At 51.6% G+C, this 19,819-nt stretch overlaps 2 protein-coding genes and 1 pseudogene across 8 annotated transcripts, besides 6 other annotated features; 1 reads left to right on the top strand and 2 right to left on the bottom strand.

Moving 5' to 3' along the window:
- Positions 1,972–3,123, bottom strand: KRT8P26 (keratin 8 pseudogene 26; annotated as a pseudogene).
- Positions 9,044–9,113: an enhancer, noted in NCBI's record as "active region_5003". NCBI's record gives its function as "activates an Ori minimal core promoter by ATAC-STARR-seq in GM12878 lymphoblastoid cells {active_cell/tissue: GM12878}" and the evidence as "EXISTENCE:reporter gene assay evidence [ECO:0000049][PMID:35858748]".
- RNASEH2C (ribonuclease H2 subunit C) lies at positions 9,189–12,314 on the top strand. The gene is made up of 4 exons (NM_032193.4): positions 9,189–9,400; positions 9,570–9,745; positions 9,823–9,942; positions 10,178–12,314. The coding sequence occupies exons 1-4, from the start codon at positions 9,229–9,231 to the stop codon at positions 10,202–10,204; spliced, it is 495 nt and encodes a 164-aa protein (NP_115569.2). The 5' UTR covers positions 9,189–9,228; the 3' UTR covers positions 10,205–12,314.
- Positions 9,264–9,503: a silencer, noted in NCBI's record as "silent region_3553". NCBI's record gives its function as "represses an Ori minimal core promoter by ATAC-STARR-seq in GM12878 lymphoblastoid cells {active_cell/tissue: GM12878}" and the evidence as "EXISTENCE:reporter gene assay evidence [ECO:0000049][PMID:35858748]".
- KAT5 (lysine acetyltransferase 5) lies at positions 10,383–17,969 on the bottom strand. Of its 7 annotated transcripts, none has more exons than XM_006718421.4 (14): positions 17,708–17,735; positions 17,542–17,608; positions 17,153–17,221; positions 16,929–17,065; positions 16,484–16,666; positions 16,320–16,394; positions 16,139–16,213; positions 15,244–15,492; positions 15,077–15,166; positions 13,180–13,320; positions 13,005–13,098; positions 11,238–11,397; positions 11,033–11,114; positions 10,383–10,940 (listed from the first exon to the last, which is right to left on the bottom strand). In XM_006718421.4, the coding sequence occupies exons 1-14, from the start codon at positions 17,717–17,719 to the stop codon at positions 10,806–10,808; spliced, it is 1,569 nt and encodes a 522-aa protein (XP_006718484.1). In that variant the 5' UTR covers positions 17,720–17,735; the 3' UTR covers positions 10,383–10,805. The 7 variants fall into 7 exon arrangements, with proteins under 7 accessions (XP_006718484.1, NP_006379.2, NP_874369.1 ...); NM_006388.4 differs by having other exon boundaries at positions 16,484–16,639; NM_182710.3 differs by having other exon boundaries at positions 16,484–16,639; positions 17,542–17,735.
- Positions 17,410–17,489: a silencer, noted in NCBI's record as "silent region_3552". NCBI's record gives its function as "represses an Ori minimal core promoter by ATAC-STARR-seq in GM12878 lymphoblastoid cells {active_cell/tissue: GM12878}" and the evidence as "EXISTENCE:reporter gene assay evidence [ECO:0000049][PMID:35858748]".
- Positions 17,500–17,689: a silencer, noted in NCBI's record as "silent region_3551". NCBI's record gives its function as "represses an Ori minimal core promoter by ATAC-STARR-seq in GM12878 lymphoblastoid cells {active_cell/tissue: GM12878}" and the evidence as "EXISTENCE:reporter gene assay evidence [ECO:0000049][PMID:35858748]".
- Positions 17,720–18,029: an enhancer, noted in NCBI's record as "active region_5002". NCBI's record gives its function as "activates an Ori minimal core promoter by ATAC-STARR-seq in GM12878 lymphoblastoid cells {active_cell/tissue: GM12878}" and the evidence as "EXISTENCE:reporter gene assay evidence [ECO:0000049][PMID:35858748]".
- Positions 18,060–18,179: an enhancer, noted in NCBI's record as "active region_5001". NCBI's record gives its function as "activates an Ori minimal core promoter by ATAC-STARR-seq in GM12878 lymphoblastoid cells {active_cell/tissue: GM12878}" and the evidence as "EXISTENCE:reporter gene assay evidence [ECO:0000049][PMID:35858748]".

Here is a 19,819-nt window from a genome sequence, read left to right as displayed (position 1 = left end):
TAGGTCAGAAGATGGATGGGTTAGAAACCTTGTGCCAGCATTGTCTTTACCTGGAACTGTTGTAACCTAGAAGACACAAACTTTATTAAGAGGTTAAACAAGCAGGCCGGGAGTGGTGGCTCATGCCTATAATTCCAGCACTTTGGGAGGCCGAGGTGGGCAGATCACCTGAGGTCAGGAGTTCGAGACCAGCCCATGGTGAAACAACATGGTGAAACCCCATCTCTACTAATAATTCAAAAATTAGCCAGGTGTGGTGGCTCACACCTGTAATCCCAGCTACTCAGGAGGCTGAGGCAGGAGAATCGTTTGAACCCAGGAGGGGGAGGTTGCAGTGAGCTGAGATCGTGCCATTGCACTCTAGCCTGGGCAACAAAGAGCAAAACTCCATCTCAAAAAAAAAAGAGGTTAAAAAAGCAAGGGCCAAAGATTAGTAATAACAAGACAGCTATCAAAGGTCCTAGGAGAGGTAAGAACCAAGTGAGACTTGGGAGGGGTTTTTTTTTTTTTTTTTTGAGATGAAGTCTTGCTCTTGTTGCCCAGGCTGGAGTTCAATGGCGCGATCTCAGCTCATTGCAACCTCTGCCTCCCGGGTTCAAGCAATTCTCCTGCCTCAGCCTCCCAAGTAGCTGGGATTACAGGCGCCCGCCACCACGTACGTCTAATTTTTGTATTTTTAGTAGACACAGGGATTCACCATGTTGGCCAGGCTGGTCTCGAACTCCTGACTTCAGGCAATTCACTTGCCTCGGCCTCCCAAGTGCTGGGATTACAGACATGAGCCACTGTGCCCGGCCGGGAGGGCATTTTTGATAATCGAGCAGATATAGCTGGAGTCAGTGACCCAGCATCTATGTGACCAGATAGATTGCTGATAGATCGTGTGAATGTTAATCTCAACCTGTCCAGGTTTTATTCATAACTGCACAGCCTCCACCTTGTTCAGCTAGTAAATAATCCAATGCTAGTCTCTTATCAAGAACTACATTTGCCAAAGAGTCTAGGAATCCCTGAATTCCTTTTAATGCCTGACCTGTGTTGGTGGCTAATGATTCCAGGGTTTGAGTCAGTTCTTTAGGGCCAACTCATGGTAGGCAAAGCCACCCCAGGGGGCCACTAGTTCTAATGCCACTCCAGTTCATGTCAGAATTAATCCTATTGATCATTCATTTCTGGTATTCCTCGGTCTTACAGGGTTTTATATGGTGACCCCCGGAAGGCCAAAGGGTGGCCAACATACACTCACCCCTGTTCCAAGTTTTTGATATACAAAGGAAAGCTACTCCTAAAAGAACAGGAGGTCCTCTGGGGAGTTAGGAGTGGTTATGGGATGTGACTTCTTCCCACTTATGACCACAAATGAAAACGAACCCATTTGGGGTGCAATAGAGGCCCTGTGAGGTGTGATGCCTATCTTTAGCCACTAAGTTGGGTCTGTGGAGATACAAGATATCTCCCCCCATTCCAACGGGGAGGACCAAACAACCCTGGTAGGGTTTTCTGGGTTTTGTTTGTTTTTTGCTTTTTGACAGTTGACAGAGCTAGCTGAGGCTTTATCTTGAAAAAACAAAACAAAACAAAACAAAACAGTGGAATTGTTTTGTGATGGAGGCATGGGCAAGGGAGTTACCCCACACAAGTGGGCTGTGGAGGAGGGCTGAGCCTCAAGTGGGTCTCCTGTTCCCTGCGCTTTCCTGCACAGCAGCCTCCCCCACAAGCTCTGGGGCAGCTGCAAGAGGGGGTAGGCTGGGAGGGACTGCCATAGTTGTTCGCTTGGGCAGGACATCAGAGGACTCGGACACCAGCTTCCCAACCATGGTCCTGGAGGAGCTGGTGCGGCTGAAGGAGCTGAAATCCCTGCCAGAGTCAAGGCTGGGGCCCAGGCCGTAGCTGAGGCCAGGGCTTGTGAGGCCCCGGGAGGCCGAGCTCAGCTGTCTACTTAAGCAGCTGCGGCGCCAGGTCCTGCTTGGCCGGCGCCAGGTCCTGCTTGGCCTGCTACAGGGCAGCCTCCAGCTCCACCAGCTCCCCACGCTGCTCAGCATCCGCGATGGCCTCTGAGGCCCTCAATCTCAGCATGGACCCCGCTGATGTTGCGGATCATCTCAGAGTTCTCCATCTTCCCGCGACGCAGGTCATCCCCGTGCTTCCCAGCCAGTGTCTGCAACTCCTCATCCTTGACCTGGTGCAGACTCTTAGCCTTGCCTGGCCGCAGTGGGCGATCTCCTCGTACTGGGCGTTGACCTCCGCGATGATGCCATCCACGTCCAGGGAGTGGCTGTTGTCCATGGACAGCACACAGACGTGTCCGAGATCTGGGACTGCAGCTTCCAGATCTCCTCTTCACACAGCTCTCTGGGGAAGTTGATCTTGTCAGTCAGCCCTTCCAGGTGAGACTCCAGCACTGCCTTGTTCATGTAAGCTCCATCCACATCCTTCTCGATGAAGGCAAATTCATTCCCCATCTCTGTCCGCTCGTTGATCTCATCCTGGTACTTATCGTTGAAGTCTTCCAGCAGCCCCTGCGTGTTGCCAAGATCTGCCTCCACCTTCAGCTTCTCCTGGCCCAGTGTCCAGCTGCTGCCCAAGGCTGTGGATGTGGCTCTCAAACACGCTGTCCATGTTGCTCCCAGCTGTCTTCTGCTGCTGCAGGATGCTCCACTTAGTCTCCAGCATTTGTTCTGCTGCTCCAGGAACTGCACCTTGTCGATGAAGGAGGCAAACTTGTTGAGGGTCTTGATCTGCTCCTTCTCCTGGGTATGCACAGCCTGGATATTGGGGTCCAGGTCCAGCTTAAGGGGGCTCAGCAGACTCTGGTTCACCATGATGGCTGTGTCGCCCACCCCCACCCCATACCACTGCCCCACCATAGCCACCACCCAGACTCATGCTGGTGCCTAGGCCACTCCAGAAGCTGCTGCTGCTGCCCACTTGGGAGAAGCTCAAGGAGCTGATGTGGGCACCGGGACCACTGGTGTAGGAGCGGCTGCTGAAGGCCCAGGGGCCAGAGATGGATGCCTTGTAGGGCTTCTGGGTCACCGTGATGGACACGATGGAGGCAGGAGTGGAGGTAGGCAGGCCGAACCAGATGTAGATTCAAGGATGGAGAAGCTTCCTCTAGGTCAGCCCTTGTTTTCCAGAAGGGGGCGGTAATCTCACCTTCCCAGATTAGGCAGTTGTTTTTTTCTCTGTATGTTCTGCTCTGGGAGAAGGCACTGTATATGGTCTCCTTGCTCACAAGTGGAATCTTATTTATCTTGCTGTGGCCTTGGGAACTTGGCAACTACAGTTGGGTCACAGCATTGTGGGGAAACTTCCACTTTTGTGTCATTAACACAACAGTGGTTGCAAAAGATAGAATCATTAGTGCCCTGGAGATCTAGATACACGCCTTGACAGAATCATGAGTGCCCTAGAGATCTAGATACATGCCTTGATAGAATCATGAGTGCCCTGGAGATCTAGACATACGCCTTCCCAGGTCCAGGCAATAGTGGTGGGGGATTTCAGGTAGAATCCATCAAGTGCACGACAGAAATTTCCACCTAATGGTCGGGGTCTGGGTACTTTGAGATTGCTATGGATGGTGAAGAGGGCTAGGGAGTTAGCCAAGAGAGTTTTTGGATCGGCCAGAAGGTGAAATTCTCTATCCTGGGGATGTTGATGACAAATCCAGCAACCATGAAGATGATTTCCTAAAGCTATAATTTTTGAAATATTTACTATAAAGTTTTGTTCCCACTTACACAGGATTAGGTTAATTGGGAGAGCAACAGGATTAACAGTGGCACATGGTATCCACCTGGGCCTTAGAGTGGCCTCTACACCCAACAAGGACAAGAGATGTTTCCTGGGAGGAGGTAGTTGCCCAAAGCGACAGAAAAGAAGTATTACAATCAGGAAGAAGAGAAAAATGTTCCCACCCACGGCGTCACGTTACCACTTATGGCTGAATATTGATTCTTTTAAATAGGTAGCAGAGGTCCTCCAAAGGTTCACAGATGTAGGTCGTGGTATCCTGCTTTTGTGCCTGTGACTCATAAGAAACAGGTTTAATCCTAGACAGGTGTACCCAACAAGTTATTCCCTGAAGTTTAGCAGCAGAGGGGATACTCAACAACACCTGATAGGGGCTCTGTCATTTCGGTTGTAATTGATCCTCAGGGGAATCTTTCTTTCCAAGTTTTTATTAAGACTAAGCCTCCTGGCCGGGCGCGGTGGCTCACGCCTGTAATCCCAGCACTTTGGGAGGCCAAGGCGGGCGGATCACGAGGTCAGGAGATCGAGACCATCCTGGCGAACACGGTGAAACCCCGTCTCTACTAAACACACAAAGAATTAGCCGGGCGTGGTGGCGGGCGCCTGTAGTCCCAGCTACTCGGGAGGCTGAGGCAGGAGAATTGCTTGAACCTGGGAGGCAGAGGTTGCAGTGAGCCGAGATCTCACCATTGCACTCCAACCTGGCTGACAGAGTGAGACTGCGTCTCAAAAATAAATAAATAAATATAAAAAAATCAGCCGGGCATGGTGGTGGGCGCCTGTAATCCCAGCTACTCGGGAGGCTGAGGCAGGAGAATCAGGAGAATTGCTTGAGCCCAGGAGACGGAGGTTGCAGTGAGCCGAGATTGTGCCACTGCACTCCAGCCTGGCTGACAGAGCGGACTCTGTCTCAAAAAAAAAAAAAAAAAAAAGGAGAGGAAAAAAATGCGTATTTCCTAGCTTTGTCCACTGGAAATATCTAGAAACAAAGGCTAACTCAGTAGCAATGAATACATCTAGTATCAGATTGGATTACTAAATATCATTTCCCACTGAAGGGAACCAGCGATCTTTGGAGAGATGTATAATTCCAAGTCTGGGGCAGGAAATGTACAAGATGAGCCAGGAACATCTTGTGGTACTGGAAAACAAAGATATGTATAAAAGATCACTAGGGTCATATCGAAAGATTCAGGAGATAACTTGAAGAGGCTTCCACTGGCAGAAGATGGGGAAATTTGCACCTCAGTAAGAATAATAACCACAATTATGTGAAACATAAAAGTGTTAATCCATTATTTATTATTTTTATTTATATTTATTTATTTAATATTTATTTAACATTTTTAAAAGGTCACCATTGGAATATGCTAGGGCAACAAATCATTATTTTAAGAACTGGAAAATAAAAGGATTTTTTTGAGATGCAGTCTCGCTCTGTCACCCAGGCTGGAGTGCAGTGGCTCGATCTCAGTTCACTGCAACCTCCACCTCCCGGGTTCAAGCAGTTCTCCTGCCTCAGCCTCCTGAGTAGCTGGGATTACAGGCATGCGCCACCACGCCCGGCTAATTTTTGTATTTTTTAGTAGAGATAAGGTTTCACCGTGTTGGCCAGGCTGGTCCCGAACTCCTGACCTCAAGTGATCCACCCACCTCAGCTTCCCAAAGTGCTGGGATTACAGGTGTGAGCCACTGTGCCCGGCCTAATTATTTTGTCTTTCTTATCCTCACTGTACCAACAGGCAATCAAATGGCTGATGGGGAGAGTTTTTCTTTATAGACCTATTTCAGCTAGTAAATGAAGAAGAAATGAGAGGACTTAGAATATCAGTTTTAGGCTGGGCACCATGCCTCACGCCTGTGATCCCAGCACTTTGGGAGCCCAAGGGAGGGGAGCAGATCACTTGAGGTAAGGATTTGGAGACCAGCCTGGCCAACATGGTAAAACCCCATCTCTACTAAAAATACAAAAATTAGCCTGGCATGGTGGCATGCGCCTGTAATCCCAGCTACTCAGGAGGCCAAGGCAGGAGAATTGCTTGAACCCGGGAGACAGAGGTTGAGCTGAGTGAGCCAAGATCGCGCCACCGCGCTCCAGCCTGGGCTACCAGGTGAGACTCTGTCCCAAAAATATGTGTGTGTGTGTGTGTGTGTGCGCGTACACACGCGTTTTAACCTCTAATGAATTAAAGGATCTAGGCAATGATCATCTATGGCTGCTAACCTCACAAAAAGAGGGAAAAACACAAAACCACCCATGAAGTAGTCTTGCCCTCTCCCCTCCCCAAAGAATCGAATTAAGCTTCTAGATGTAATTACAGAAAATACAGGTATAGATTACCTTGACACTATAGGAATGCAATTACTAATATCCAGACTACAGGAAACTTGCAAAACCAAAAACATAAAAATAAAAAATAAGATCCAACATCTACTCCCAATTTTTAAAAGCTCTTAGTAGTACAGCTTTAATGAGACATATATAACAAGTCAAAAGGCAGTTTCATGATTATTGGTGAAACAGCAGAAGCACTCCCGTGAAAGTTTCAGGAAAAAGACAATGTTGTCCTCTGATACCAGTAACATTTGAGAGACTGTTCTGCAAGTACTGGCCAAGGCAATTAGAAAAGAAAACAAATTACAAGGTGTAATGAAAAAAAAAAAACAAAAAACAAAAAACAAAAAGAAGATGTAATGGTGAGGTAAAAATTATTATTTGAAAGAGAGGTGACTAATTCTGGGGATCTTAAAATAAAATAAAAATCATTAGGAACAAAATAATTCAGTCGATATCTAGTTTAAAAATGGACATATAAAAATCAACAGGTTTGCTATAGACAAGGGGTCTGAAAACTATGGCCTGTGGTTCAAATCCAACCCCTTGTCTGTTTCTGCAAAGATTTACTGGAACACAACAACGCTCATTCATTTATGTATTGTCTATGACTGCTTTCATGCTATAACGGTGAAGTTGAGTAGCTGCGACAGAAGCCATAAAGTCCACAAAACCTAAAATATTTACTATTTGACCCCTTACAGAAAAAGTTTGCCAACCCCTGCTATAGATTAAAAAGAAAATCAGTTAGAAAATAAAATGAAAAAAATAAAAGCCCCAATTTTGGTTTTTAGAGAAAGGGTCTCCCTCCGTAACCCAGGCTGGTGTGCAGTGGTGCAATCGTGACTCGAACGGCAGCCTCAAACTCCTTGGCTTAAGTGATCTTCCCACCTTAGCTTCTTGAGTAGCTGGGACTACAGGCACATGCCACTGTGCCCCACTCATGTTTAAAAAAATTTTTTTCTTTGTAGGAACGGAGTCTTGCTATGTTTCCCAGGCCGGTCTCAAACTCCTGGCTTCAAGCAATCCTCCCCCATCTTGGCCTCCTAAAGCACTGGAATTACAGGTGTGAATCATCATGCCCAGCCCCTCAGTTCTTAATAGAAACAATTATTAATATAAGCTAAGAAGAAATAAACTTTACAATATGTATTAATAGCTATTATATATGAACAAAACCTCACAACTGTACAGATATCCAAGGAGATGTGAATAAATTGAATTATGTCTTTCCTGATAGAAAACTAAAGCAAGCCTTTTTCTAAATTAATCTGCCACTCTAGTGAAAGAGCACCAGGAATACATCTGCAGTTGAACAAATTGGGTATATTACTCCTGCACTCTGGGGAATTTCAATAAGAGGGTGCTAGAAAGGACTTATAGGAGGATTTGTGCCCATGTTCAGTGATTTCAGTCAGGGTTTAGGGAAGCCAGGCTTCTCTCTGGCTTGGATGCTGTCAGAGGTGGGGGTATGTCTATGACGGACTATCTTAATGAGTCTTGCCCAGAAGGAGAGAAGATTAGTTGGAGGCTAATGCTGTAATTGGTAAGGAAACAACAGTCACTCTCTTATGGGAGAAAGAGGGATGTTTCATGCCTTTTGTGGTTTGGACAGTGTTCACCTTTGCCAGCATTCAGATGTGACGATGGAGTGGTTCTGTTTCTGTCTTGCTCCCTCACGGTCACAGAGTGACCTTGTCCGATGCTGATGTTCTCTGAAATTGTTTATATTCAACAGAATACCAAGGCCAGCTCCCAGATGTGCAGGGATGTATAAATTAAACGCAATTTAAATCTAAATTTCCAGTTTTGTGTTTGTTTTATGTGAGAACTTGAAAAAATATATCTAAGTTGGGTGTCTGAACAAATAAACATTAGAGAAGAGCTGAGAAACCAAAGAGAGAAAATTGTGAAATCTAAAAGACTGAAAAGTGTTGATAAATTTGACTACAAAAAATTAGTCTTTGTCCTGGGTGCAGTGGCTCACGCCTGTAATTCCAGCGTGATTTGGGAGGCCAAGGTGGGCAGATCACTTGAGTCCAGGAGTTCAAGACCAGCCTGGGCAACATGGCAAAACTCCACCTCTACCAAAAATACAAAAATTAGCTGCGTGGTGGCGCAGGCCTGTGGTTCCAGCTACACAGGAAGCTGAGGATGGGGGATGGATTAAGCCTGGGAGGTCGAGGCTGCAGTGAGCCAATCAAACCACTGCACTCCAGCCTAGGCGAGTGAGACCTTGTCTAAAAGACCAAACAACCACAAAAATAAGTCCTTGTCCAGCAAAAATCACCTTTACACAGGTTTGCAAGACAGACCACAGATAAAACATTTTCAATGCATTTAAGAAAAGGGTTGATGTCCCTAATAAACTAAAAATGAATAACCTACCTACTAATCAATATAAAAAGAGTACTTTTCAGAATCGTTTTAGATTTTTACAACGACATGTGCCATTAAAAACAATAAAAGAAAAAAACCCGGCTGGGGGCGGTGTCTCACGCCTGTAATCCAAGTACTTCAGAAGGCCGAGGCTGGAGGATCGCCTGAGGTCAGGAGTTCGAGACCAGCCTGGCCAACATGGCGAAACCCAGTCTCTACTAAAAATACAAAAATTAGGTGGGCATGGTGGTGTGCGCCTGTAATCCCAGCTACTCCGGAGGCTGAGGCAGGAGAATCGCTTGAACCCGGGAGGCGGAGGTTGCAGTGAGCTGAGACCGTGCCTGGCACTCCAGCCTGGGCGACAAAACGAGACTCTGTCAAAAAAAAATAATAATAAATAAGAAAAAGAAAGAAAGAGGGAAGGACGGGAAGGAAGGGAAGGGAAGGGGGGAAGGAAGGGAGGCAGGGAGGAGGGGGAGGGGGGAGGGGGAAGGAGGGGGGAGGGGGAAGGAGAGGGGGAGAGGGGAGGGAGGAAAGAGGGGAGGGGGGAAGGAAGGAAGGAAAAAAACAAAACACAACTGGAAAACCCTAGGACTTGAACCCAGGGAAAGCGTTAGGGGGTAAGGGGACTACACTTCCCGTGAAGCTCCGCGGCGGCTTCCCGTGAGGCCCCGCGGAGGCTTCCTGAGAGGTCCTGCGCGCTTTCCGCGCCAGCTTCAGTGTCAGCTCGCGAGCCCTGGCGTCGCGTAGGAGGGAGGATGGAGAGCGGCGACGAAGCGGCCATCGAGAGGCACCGCGTCCACTTGCGCTCCGCCACATTGCGCGACGCCGTACCCGCCACACTGCATCTGCTGCCCTGCGAGGTTGCGGTGGACGGGCCCGCCCCGGTGGGGCGCTTCTTCACGCCCGCCATCCGCCAGGGCCCCGAGGGTGAGCCCTGCGGCCGGACTACGGCTCCCGGCAGCCCCCGCGCCGGCCTGCGCGCTTCTCATCGCCTGGGCTCCTGGGGATCGTGGTCCGTCCGGAGGTGGCGGGAGGGCAGCTCCGGGCTCGACCCAGCGTGGGTCCTGCCTGAGGCCCTTTGCGCCTCCCGCTCCAGGACTCGAAGTGTCGTTTCGGGGCCGCTGTCTACGGGGAGAGGAGGTGGCGGTGCCGCCTGGCCTCGTGGGATACGTGATGGTGACAGAAGAGAAGAAGGTGTCGATGGGGAAGCCAGACCCCTTGCGGGATTCCGGGACTGACGACCAAGAGGAGGAGCCGCTGGAGCGGGACTTCGTGAGCAAAGGGATAGGGTTGAAAGGGGGTGCGGGCGGGAGCTGTAGTCCCGATGCTGAGCCAGGCCCCTTCCCCAGGACCGCTTCATTGGAGCCACTGCCAACTTCAGCCGCTTCACCCTGTGGGGTCTGGAGACCATCCCTGGCCCGGATGCCAAAGTGCGTGGGGCCTTAACTTGGCCCAGCCTTGCGGCAGCGGTGAGTAGACGAGGAGTTCCGTCTTGCCCCCGGGTGGATGGGCTGGGGAGCACAATTGCGCAGACGGAGCCTGGAGGATTCTACTGGGTAGTGTGTGGGAAGCGTAGCTCCCTGACCACTCTTCCTAGCATGTCTAGAAGCGGTTATTCTGAACAGCTGGGTCCTTCCTCGGGTATGGGGGCCAGCTTGCCGCCCTGTCTTACAAGTCCAACAGTAGAGGCGACTCCTGTTGCAGATTCACGCACAGGTGCCCGAGGACTGAGAACCAGAGCTTGAAATTCAAAGCTGCGATCCCTTCACAGCAGTAAACCAGCTCTTTGGAACCGATTCCATCACCCCAATAAAGGAGCTCTTCACAGCACCTGTGAGTCTGGGCGCCTTAGAGCCCCTAAGCCAGCATGGGCCCTTTCCCCCTCCCCACCAAGAACTTTGCATGGCTCTGGCATATAGAAACAATTTATTGCCGGGGGCAATAGGGGTAAGAGAAGCCAGAAATTTTTGCAGCCAGCACCCACCCCACCCCCAACTTCTACTTTACAAAAGAAATTTTTACAATCACCAGCCCTCTGTACAGAGCTCCCCCATCCGGATCCCTTCTCACTGTACACAGCTGCCTGGCTCCCTCTGGTCCCTGCTTCAGAGGAGGCCTGGGCCTGTGGCCAGCTGACCTTGGAGTTGGTCTGAGCCCGGAGCTCGCCTTGGTGCTGGGCACCAGTGGGCCCCTGCCAGGCCTGTCCTCTCCTTTTTGAGCTGTCCTCAGCCCCATCTCCCTTAGAGTGCTTTGTGGGAGCTGCAGTGGGGGCGGGGTGGGCTATCAGCCCCAGTCCTGCTGCCGTCTTGGCACTGCAGTGGGCAGTGTCTGGTCACCACTTCCCCCTCTTGCTCCAGTCCTTGGGAGTGAAGTGCAGACACTTGGAGTCGATCCGCAGGAGCCGCTTGAGCATGGCCCGCTCATGGCCATCCACGATGTCCTCTGACAGTGTGAGGATGTACTGGCCCTGGGCAGAGGAGATGGGTTCAGCAGGTGGTCAGCCCACAGAGGACTGCACTCTGCATCCCACACACCTGTCTCCCCTGCCTGCCTCCCTACCTTGTAGTAGTTGATGAGATTGAGGTACTGCAGAGTGGAGATGACATCCTCCTTCTTGATGCTGGTGATTTCACTAATCTCACTGTGGGAGAGCACAGGTCAGGTTCCCTGAGGACCTTTATCTGTCCCCAGGAGCCCTGAGAGAGAAAGCCCAGGAACAGACAAGCCATGCCATGTACCCCCAGGTAGACAGCGCCAGGCTCACTTGATGGTGATCTGTGGCCTCTCCCCGCTCTCCGACTTCAGCCCCATCAGGATCTCCAGGATGGTCTGGGACCAGTAGCTTCGATAGGATAGGAGGCCAAGGTCTGAGAGGGGCTTCTCAGGGGTCCCTGTTTTCCCTTCCACTTTGGAGAGTTCATAGCCTAAAGCAATGGAGCAGGAGAGGGTGAGTAAGAGGTCACAGATGAACATAAGCAACATTTAAAAACACAGGTTGCCAAGGCAGGCTGCCTAGTTCCTATCATGGCCCTGCCACTTGGCAGTTCTATGCCCTCCACTTCTCTGTGCCTCAGTTCCCTCAGGAAGAACTGAGTATTCACTCTTTCCGTGCGCTGAGCACAGTGGAGGGCATGAGGGCACTGAGAGGAGCAGCTGCAGTCAACCATGAGGGTGATCAGAGGCCAGTGAAGGCTTATGGGCAGGGGATGCAGAGAAAATGGCTCATGGGAAGAAGGGGCCTCCAATTTTCCTTTGCCATCCCGGGCTCTGTGTCTAGCCATGTAAGGAAGTGGAGACAGATTCCTGTCTCTAATCCAGACCTGAGAATGCTTGAATTCTCAAAGTCCTCCTAGCTGGGACCTTGGGAGTGTCACCTGCTGTAAGACTTGAGTGGCCTGACTGGGTGGTTGTGAGGATGCAAGGAGAAAAGGTGCACCAAGGTGCTTCCTAAGTCGGGGAGACCATTCCTGGGAGCCACGTGACTGACCCCCACCATGGCTCTTTCCCTCCAACTCGTGCTGATAGCTGGCCGCTGGGAGGCCGTCCCCAGTGAGATCCTCAGACCCTGCACAGCCCTGAGTGGCTTCACATCTCTTGGTCAGTGTCTTCATTCTCCCCAGTCAGGGACCTGGGATGTTTGTTACTTCTAGAAGCCCTTCCTCACCCTCATAATGGACCTTAGCCCCTTGCTGGTCCCACTCACATCCCGTCTCCATTGCTGTCTGAGTTCCAAGACTGAGTTTCTTCAAGCATCCACTTGTGCTACCAGGCTGAGAAGTTCTGAGGATGTGACCCCATCTGGGCATCATTTAACCAATAAAATTTCTCGAATGGACCATAACCTTGATCAGGTAAAGCCTCTGTGTCTTCACCAGGTCAACAGCTAGAACTTCCTCCTTGTTTCTCAGGTCAGAGCTTGGTTATTCCAAGTGAGTGGTGAGACAGACAGAATGGGGGGTGATGGGGAGTAAGAGGCTGGGAAGAAGGGGCCTCAGGGTTGGGGAGGGCACTGAAGAGCCCATGTGTGATGAAGTTCAGAGTCCCTTCTGGCTTTAAGAGACTGACCTCACTGGACACAAGGAGCGAGGGACAACATGCTTATGTCTATCTGCTGACAGCATTTTGGATACCTGCCTGCAAGGCTCAGGGGACAACTGGGGACATTAGCCACTGGTCCTTGCCCCAGTACTCGTATCATGGCACACGTTACCAGATACATCAGCACCAGCGGCTCACTAACCTTCTGCCCATGGCTCCAGGCAGGAGCACGTAAGTCAGATTTGGGGAAAGCTGAGTGGCACTTAGAACCCTGGCCAAGGAGCAAACTGGGGGGCTGAGAACCTACCCCAGATAAGCAGGGCAGTCAGCCTGAACGGAGAGAACCCCGGGAGAGTGCCACTGTTATTTCTGGCTGGTTCCCCTAGAGGCTGGGCTGCACAGCCAGGGTTGAGAATCACAGTAGCCTGGCCCATCTGCCTGTGAGGCACCGATAGTGGGTCCACTACCCCCTGGCCGCAGCACACATACTCACTGAACTCGATCAGCAGCTTGCCGTAGCCCCGGCGCTGGTAGGGAGGCAGGGTTAGGATGCAGGCCACATTGTAGTCTTCCGTTGATTCTTTCTCCTGGAGAAGGGGGACAGGTGAGTGTCAGGGAAGGGATCTGGCTCAGGACAGGGCACAGGGACAGCTTGGGCAGGCACTGACCTTGGAGAAGTAGCCCACGATGTGGAAGCCCTTACAGTCATACTCTGTCATGACGTAGAAGAGGAAAGGGTCTGTGTCATAGTACAGTGTCTTATGGTCAAGGAAACACTTGGCCAAAAGACACAGGTTCTGGGAATAACTCTGCAAGAGAAAAGGCTTGTCACCACTCTGGGTATCCCGCCTTGAGCCTGGCCAGTGGTTCAGGGTCAACCAGGAGCTTCACTGTTCGTGCTATGCCCCAGGCTGCTAGGTGATGAGTGTTCTTCCCTGGCTGGGCCTGACCCACTCCACCAGCCCGCAGCTTAGGCAGGGCTGCTCCTCAGTGTTGAAAAGCCTGTGTGCCAGATGTGTGATGGTGTCTGAGTGCCTCCCTGCTCAGTCAGGCAAGTTTCCCGCCTTGCTCCGCACACCTCCATTCTAAGCCTGACCAGGAGAGACCACTGCCTTTTAATGTTTTTTAACAGCAGCCAACGAACTAATGTGTCCAAAGTGAGACTCTGACCACGGCTCCTCAAACTAATGTGTCCAAAGTGAGACTCTGACCACTGACTCCCTATCTAACAGTCTTGGGAGTCTAGCTGTTAAAAAACCTAACATTCTACATCCACAGTCACACCTCCTGGGAACTGATCTGCTACTCTACAACAGAGTTAAGGAATTCTGGAATTTAACAAAATAACTGCCTTAGGGTTTACCCCAGCAAAATTATGAATCCTGCTGCTTTACTTCTGCACACGATTTCTCCTGCATTTCAGACATTGTGGGTTTTTTTTTTTTTTTTTTGACACAGGGTCTCACTCCTGTCACCCAGGCTGGAGTGCAGTGGTGCAATCATGCAATCGTGGGTCACTGCAGCCTTGACTTCCCAGGCTCAGGTGATTCTCCCAACTCAGCCTCCCGAGTACCTGGGGGTTTCTCCATGTTGCCCAGGCTGGTCTCGAAATTCTGGGCTCAAGTGATTGGCCCACCTTGGCCTCCCAAAGTGCTGGGGTTACAGGTATGAGCCACTGTGCCCAGCCAGAAATTGCTTTTTATTTATTTATTTTTTTTACACGAAGTCTTGCTGTCTCCCAGGCTGGAATGCAGTGGTGCAATCTCGGCTCACTGCAAACTCTGCCTCCTGGGTTCACGCCATTCTCCTGCCTCAGCCTCCCGAGTAGCTGGGATTACAGGCACCCGCCACCACGCCCAGCTAATTTTTTGTACTTTTTAGTAGAGACAGGGTTTAACCGTGTTAGCCAGGATGGTCTCGATCTCCTGACCTTGTGATCCGCCCGCCTCAGCCTCCCAAAGTGCTGGGATTACAGGTGTGAGCCACCGTGCCCAGCCCAGGAATTGCTTTTTAACCGCCTGCTGCTGGGTACTGCCACTTGGATGCCCAGGTCCACATTAATAATTACAAAATGGTGGTTAACACAGCATCTTCATCACCTAAGCTCTGTCCCATGTACGAGCCTTCCCTCATCCTCCCTTTTCTGCCTCCCAACCAGAATGATCTCTGCCTTTCACAAAGACCACCTTTGTGCATCCATGCCTACTCTTCAGAACACCACTGCAAGAAATCCCCTCAGCCACTTTGTCATCCACCAAGGCTGAAAGGTAACCCTCTATGAAGCTCTGCTGACCACCTCCTTTGGGTCCTGCTAACCTACCCTCTGTTTCATGACACTTAGGACACTGGGAGCTAGAGGTCATTGGTATGACTGTCTCTCCCATGGACTAAGCTGTCAGAGAACAGAGACTGTCTCATTCCTGGCTACCAGCACCTGCCAGACAGCAGGAACTCAATAAAAATGGGCTGGACTGATCTGCTGGCTTGACTGGTCAGTGTTTACCTGAGCAAGAAGAAGCTGTCATTTGATTCACCCCAGCGCCTCACTGCCTCTCAAGCACTAACCTTGTTCTTACGTCCATCAATCTCAAAGAAGGAGATGGTGCCCTTGCGGTAAATCTCATTGCCTGGAGGATGTCGTAGGTCACACTTGGTCTGGGGAAGAGAGGAGGATCAGGAACAAGGGCAACGTGGAGGGTGCTGGGAAGGCAGCCTCCCTGGACCCCTCATACCAAATGACGCTGAAGACACTTGAGACTACGGCCGTACTTGAGGCAGAACTCGCACAGGTAGAGGACAGGCAATGTGGTGAGTTCCTGTGGGTACGGGGAGAAGTACCACGGCTTGAGGCGGTGCCGGCCCAGCTCAATGCACTCAATGTTCTTCATCCGGGTGACGATGTCGTCGTGGCTTCGATCAGACACCAGGCTGCCAGTCATGCGTGGTGCTGACGGTATTCCATCAGAGCTGTCCTGGGAGTCCTGCCCAGGGCCAGTGGAAAATACCAGGTTGTAAGAGACAGCTCAGCAGGACACCACAGCTCACAGCCCTTTGACAGGTTTCCTTCAAGCCTAACAGCAACCCTAAGGGGGAGGTACCATGATCCCCAATTTCCAGATAAAAAACCTGAAACCCTAAAGGATCGATGATGTGGAAAAGATCACCCAATGACCCCATTTTTTAGATGGAGTCTCAGTCTGTCGCCCAGGCTGGAGGGCAGTAGCGCGATCTTGGCTCACTGCAATCTCCACCTCCGGGGTTCAAGCAGTTCTCCTGCCTCAGCTTTCCGAGCTGGATTACAGGCACCCGCCACCACGCCTGGCTAATTTTTGTATTTCTAGTAGAAACAAGGTTTCACCATGTTGGCCAGGCTGGTCTCAAACTCCTGACCTCAGGTGATCCACCAGCCTTGGTTGGACTCCCAAAGTGCTGGGATTACAGGTATGAGCCATGGTGCCCGGCCCCAATGACTCATTTGAACAATGTTCTGCCTGTCTCCTAATCCCACCAACACTAGCTCTGCCCACCACCCCTTCTTTATTTTTAAACTCATCACTAAATAACTCTCCACCCTGCCTGCATCCCTTCCTTTTCACCCAGTTCCCTTCTGCTGCTCCCCAGACCCACCTCATCAGTGCCCAAACAATTCGATTTTCGCTTCCGTCCTGGCTGGGCTGCCACTGCCCTACGGGCGGCTCCATTCTGCCGAGATAGTAGGAAAAGAAGGGATGGCTGTGAAATGAGCCTGAAAAAAGCCACCAGAGAGTAGAAGAGAGGAAGAGAACAAGAGATGGTTTGGGGAACTCACCTGGGGAAAAACCGAGGCCGGGGCTGTCTCGCTGGGCACTGGAGTTGCTGGTGAAACCACCTCCACCTTCCGTTTCTGCAGAGAGAAACCAACAAAGGTGGGTCAGAAGGTAGAGAAGGTGGGACCTGAGAAGAAAGCAAGGTCCCTGGAATTGCTGAGGGTACCGTTGAGCGGTGGTTGGGCTGCAGGCAGGAGCTGGAGGAGAGCGGCTGGTCAGGCTCGCCACCGGGAATGGCCTCCCGCTCCTTGGGCAGGTTGAAGCGGAGTGTGATCTGGACCGGGATTGGCAAGGTCTTCCCGCTGGCCTGCGCCGAGGCCGGCTGTAGAGATAGGTCCAGGGTCTTCCTTTGGGGCGGGGATGGCAGTGGGATGGGGAAGGGGAAGAGGGGTCCCTCACCTCAAAATTATCAAACCCCACCCTCGCCTTCTGAAGGACACAGGACTAGCTACTGGACTCTGGGAGCTACATGTGCAATTTGGCCCCCATCCTTTGCAAGATGAAGTCAGGGTGAGAGGGAGCCGCCTCCTGCCCATCCAGGAGCTCCTAATGCCAACAGACAAGAGAAATAGGAGGCAGGAGAGAAAAGGTGAAGTGGGGGACCTACTCACCACCTCTCTCTCTGGAGAGCCAGGACGGGACCCAGGAAGTCCGTTCTTAGTGGGGGTCTTGGCCTCTTTCTTGGGGAACTGGATCTTCTTTAGGTCCAGCCGCTCATGCGTCACCCATTCATCCAGACGTTTGTTGACTGTAGCAGTGGGGATGGCTCAGGACAGAATGCCAAAGACTGTCCCCCAACCCTACCCTGATGCCCCACCTCAGGCCCAGAACTCACAGTCAATGTAATGGACGTAGAAAAGCTTCCGGCCACTGATGTCCTTCACGCTCAGGATCTCGGCCAGGGCTATGAGAATAGCATAGACAGGGGCCTTAGACAGGCCAGGCTATGAGACTCCACCCTTCCACGACCTGAACTCCACCCCCAGGCCGGATCCCTAAGCTCCAGCACTTAGGTCTCTCCTAAGCCTCCTTCAGTCACAAGTGCCACCCCTTTCCAGGCCCCGCCCTGTACCTCTCGGAGCAGCTAAGAGCCACGCCCCTTCATCAAAGTATCTGCGCCTCGCCCGCCCCATAATTCCAGACGCCCCTCCCCATCCCGGGATTTCAGTTGACTCCCGCCCCTCGCCCTCAGGTTCCTTAGTCCCGCCCCCCAACGTCACTCACGCCACTCATCTTCGTTGTCCTGGTTCCGCCGCAGCACGGGTAGGCGGCAGCCCTCGATTATCTCCCCCTGGGGAGACAGCGCGACGCCAGGGTCGGCTACTGGGGGGCCTCGGGCTCTACCCACCTCCCCTGGCTCCCTCCGCCCCGCCCCGGGCACCGGACTCACCACCTCCGCCATCTTCCCTCCCTCCACTGCCACTTCCGGCCCCTCTGGGAGACGTCACTTCCGGGACCGAGCGCCCTGTGGGCCCGGGCCTCACGAAGCCCCTGTAGAGGGGGACCTTTGAGAGACACCGCGACCCAGCTGCGAGGGGCAAGACTGCCCCTGTGACTCGGGGGAAAACGGAGTGTTACAAGCCTCAGGCCGAGCCCTAGGTGGAAACCCCATAACGTGCACAGCCAGTGGCGGTCTACTGAGTCCGTCACGTGACGCCCACCGGGTGCGAAGCTGGTCACGTGTATGCGGAGCGGGTCACGTGGCAATACCGTTTTTGGCTTTGTCGGAGGGAAGTCCTCGGGCGTCTCCTTGTGGCGGCGGGAGGTGTTGCCGGGAGTCAACTGGGCGCGAGAGGCTGGAGAAAGGAAGTGGCCTTAGAAGGGTTCGAACGCTCCCCCAAGTCTGTGGACTTCATTCCGTAGGCAAGAGGACTCAGGGAAGATTCCTAGCTTTATTTTGTATATTAGGCTTTTTTAATTTGTATATATTTATTTTTGAGACGGAGTCTCGCTCTGTCGCCAGGCTGGAGTGCAGTGGCGCGATCTCAGCTCCCTGTAACCCCCGCCTCCCGGGTTCAAGCGATTCTCCTGCCTCAGCCTCCCGAGTACCCAACTAATTTTTGTATTTTTAGTACGGGCGGGGTTTCACCATGTTGGCCAGGATGGTCTAGAGCTCTTGACCTCGTGATCCGCCCGCCTCGGCCTCACAAAGTACTGGGATTACAGGCGTGAGCCACCGCCCTCAGCCATATTAGGCTTTTTTTTTTTTTTTTTTTTTTTTTGAGACAAGGTCTGGCTCTCTCGCCCGGGCTGGAGTGCAGCCAGCGAGGCACAATCTCCGCTCACTGCAGCCTCCCCCTCCCGGGATCAAGTGATCCACCTCAGGCTCTCTAGTAGCTGGGACTACAGGCGCGCACCACCAAGCCTGGCTAGTTTTTTAAAATTTTTGTGTAAACAGGGTTTGGAGACTGGGCATGGTGGCTCACACCTGTAATCCCAGCTGCCTCCAGTCTAATCATGAGAAAAACATCAGACAAATCCCAATTGAGAAACATTTTACAAAATACCCCATGAATACTCCTCAAAACTGTGAAGGTGTCACCGGTGGAGGGTGTACAGGTTCTTGGCATCTAAAATAATGGGACAAAACGGCTGGGCGCGGTGGCTCACGCCTATAATCCCAGCACTTTGGGAGGCCGAGGCGGGCGGATCACGAGGTCAGGAGATTGAGACCATCCTGGCCAACACGGTGAAACCCTGTCTCTACTAAAAATAAATACAAAAAATTAGCTGGGCGTGGTGGCAGGCGCCTGTAGTCCCAGCTACTCGGGAGGCAGAGGCAGGAGAGTGGCGTGAACCCGGGAGGCAGAGCTTGCAGTGAGCCGAGATTGCGCCACTGCACTCCAGACAGAGCAAGACTCTGTCTCAAAGAAAAAGAAAAAAAAAAAGAATTGGACAAAATGCACAAAGCAAGGAAGGAATGAACGATTTATTGAAAATGAAAGTACACTCCAGTGTTGGGGCCGGCTGAGCATAGGTGCTCAAGGGCCCAGTTACAGAATTTGTTGGAGTTTAAATACCCTTTGGAGGATTCCATTGGTTATTTGGGATATGCCATATGTAAATGAAGAGGATGAAGTAAAGTTACAAAGTCATTTAGGGTGTACTCCCTAAGGAGAGGATATTTCCTGTCATAACTGAAGTGTGAATCAGCCTTATATGTTCCCTGCCTCCAGACCCTATTTTCCTGCCTCAAAGGTGGCTGAACATGGTGGCTTACGCCTATAATCCCAGTGTTACAGGAAAGGGGTCCCCATCCAGACCCCAAGAGAGGGTTCTTGGATCTCGTGCAATAAAGAATTCAGGGCGAGTCCAGCACTTTGGGAGGCCAGGCAGGTGGATAACCTGAGGTCAGGAGTTCGAGACCAGCCTGACCAACATGATGAAACCCCATCTCTACTAAAAATACAAAAATTAGGCAGGCGTGGTGGTGCGCGCCTGTAATCCCAGCTACTCGGGAGGCTGAGGCTGGAGAATTGCTTGAACCCAGGAGGCGGAGGTT

Source organism: Homo sapiens, chromosome 11, assembly GCF_000001405.40.
Source record: "Homo sapiens chromosome 11, GRCh38.p14 Primary Assembly".
NCBI lineage: Eukaryota > Metazoa > Chordata > Mammalia > Primates > Hominidae > Homo > Homo sapiens.
The sequence above is the reverse complement of the archived record's forward strand: the minus strand, read 5'-3'. Positions and strand labels throughout refer to the sequence as shown.

Coding starts and splice junctions, on each gene's coding strand:
- RNASEH2C (NM_032193.4), top strand. CDS start 9,229: ATGGAGAGCGGCGACGAAGCGGCCATCGAGAGGCACCGCGTCCACTTG. Junction 9,401..9,569: donor CATCCGCCAGGGCCCCGAGG/GTGAGCCCTGCG, acceptor CTCCCGCTCCAG/GACTCGAAGTGTCGTTTCGG. Junction 9,746..9,822: donor AGCCGCTGGAGCGGGACTTC/GTGAGCAAAGGG, acceptor CCCCTTCCCCAG/GACCGCTTCATTGGAGCCAC.
- KAT5 (NM_182710.3), bottom strand. CDS start 17,719: ATGGCGGAGGTGGTGAGTCCGGTGCCCGGGGCGGGGCGGAGGGAGCCA. Junction 13,321..15,076: donor TTGATGGACGTAAGAACAAG/GTTAGTGCTTGA, acceptor TTTCTCTTGCAG/AGTTATTCCCAGAACCTGTG. Junction 11,398..13,004: donor CAAGCTGCTGATCGAGTTCA/GTGAGTATGTGT, acceptor CCATTGCTTTAG/GCTATGAACTCTCCAAAGTG.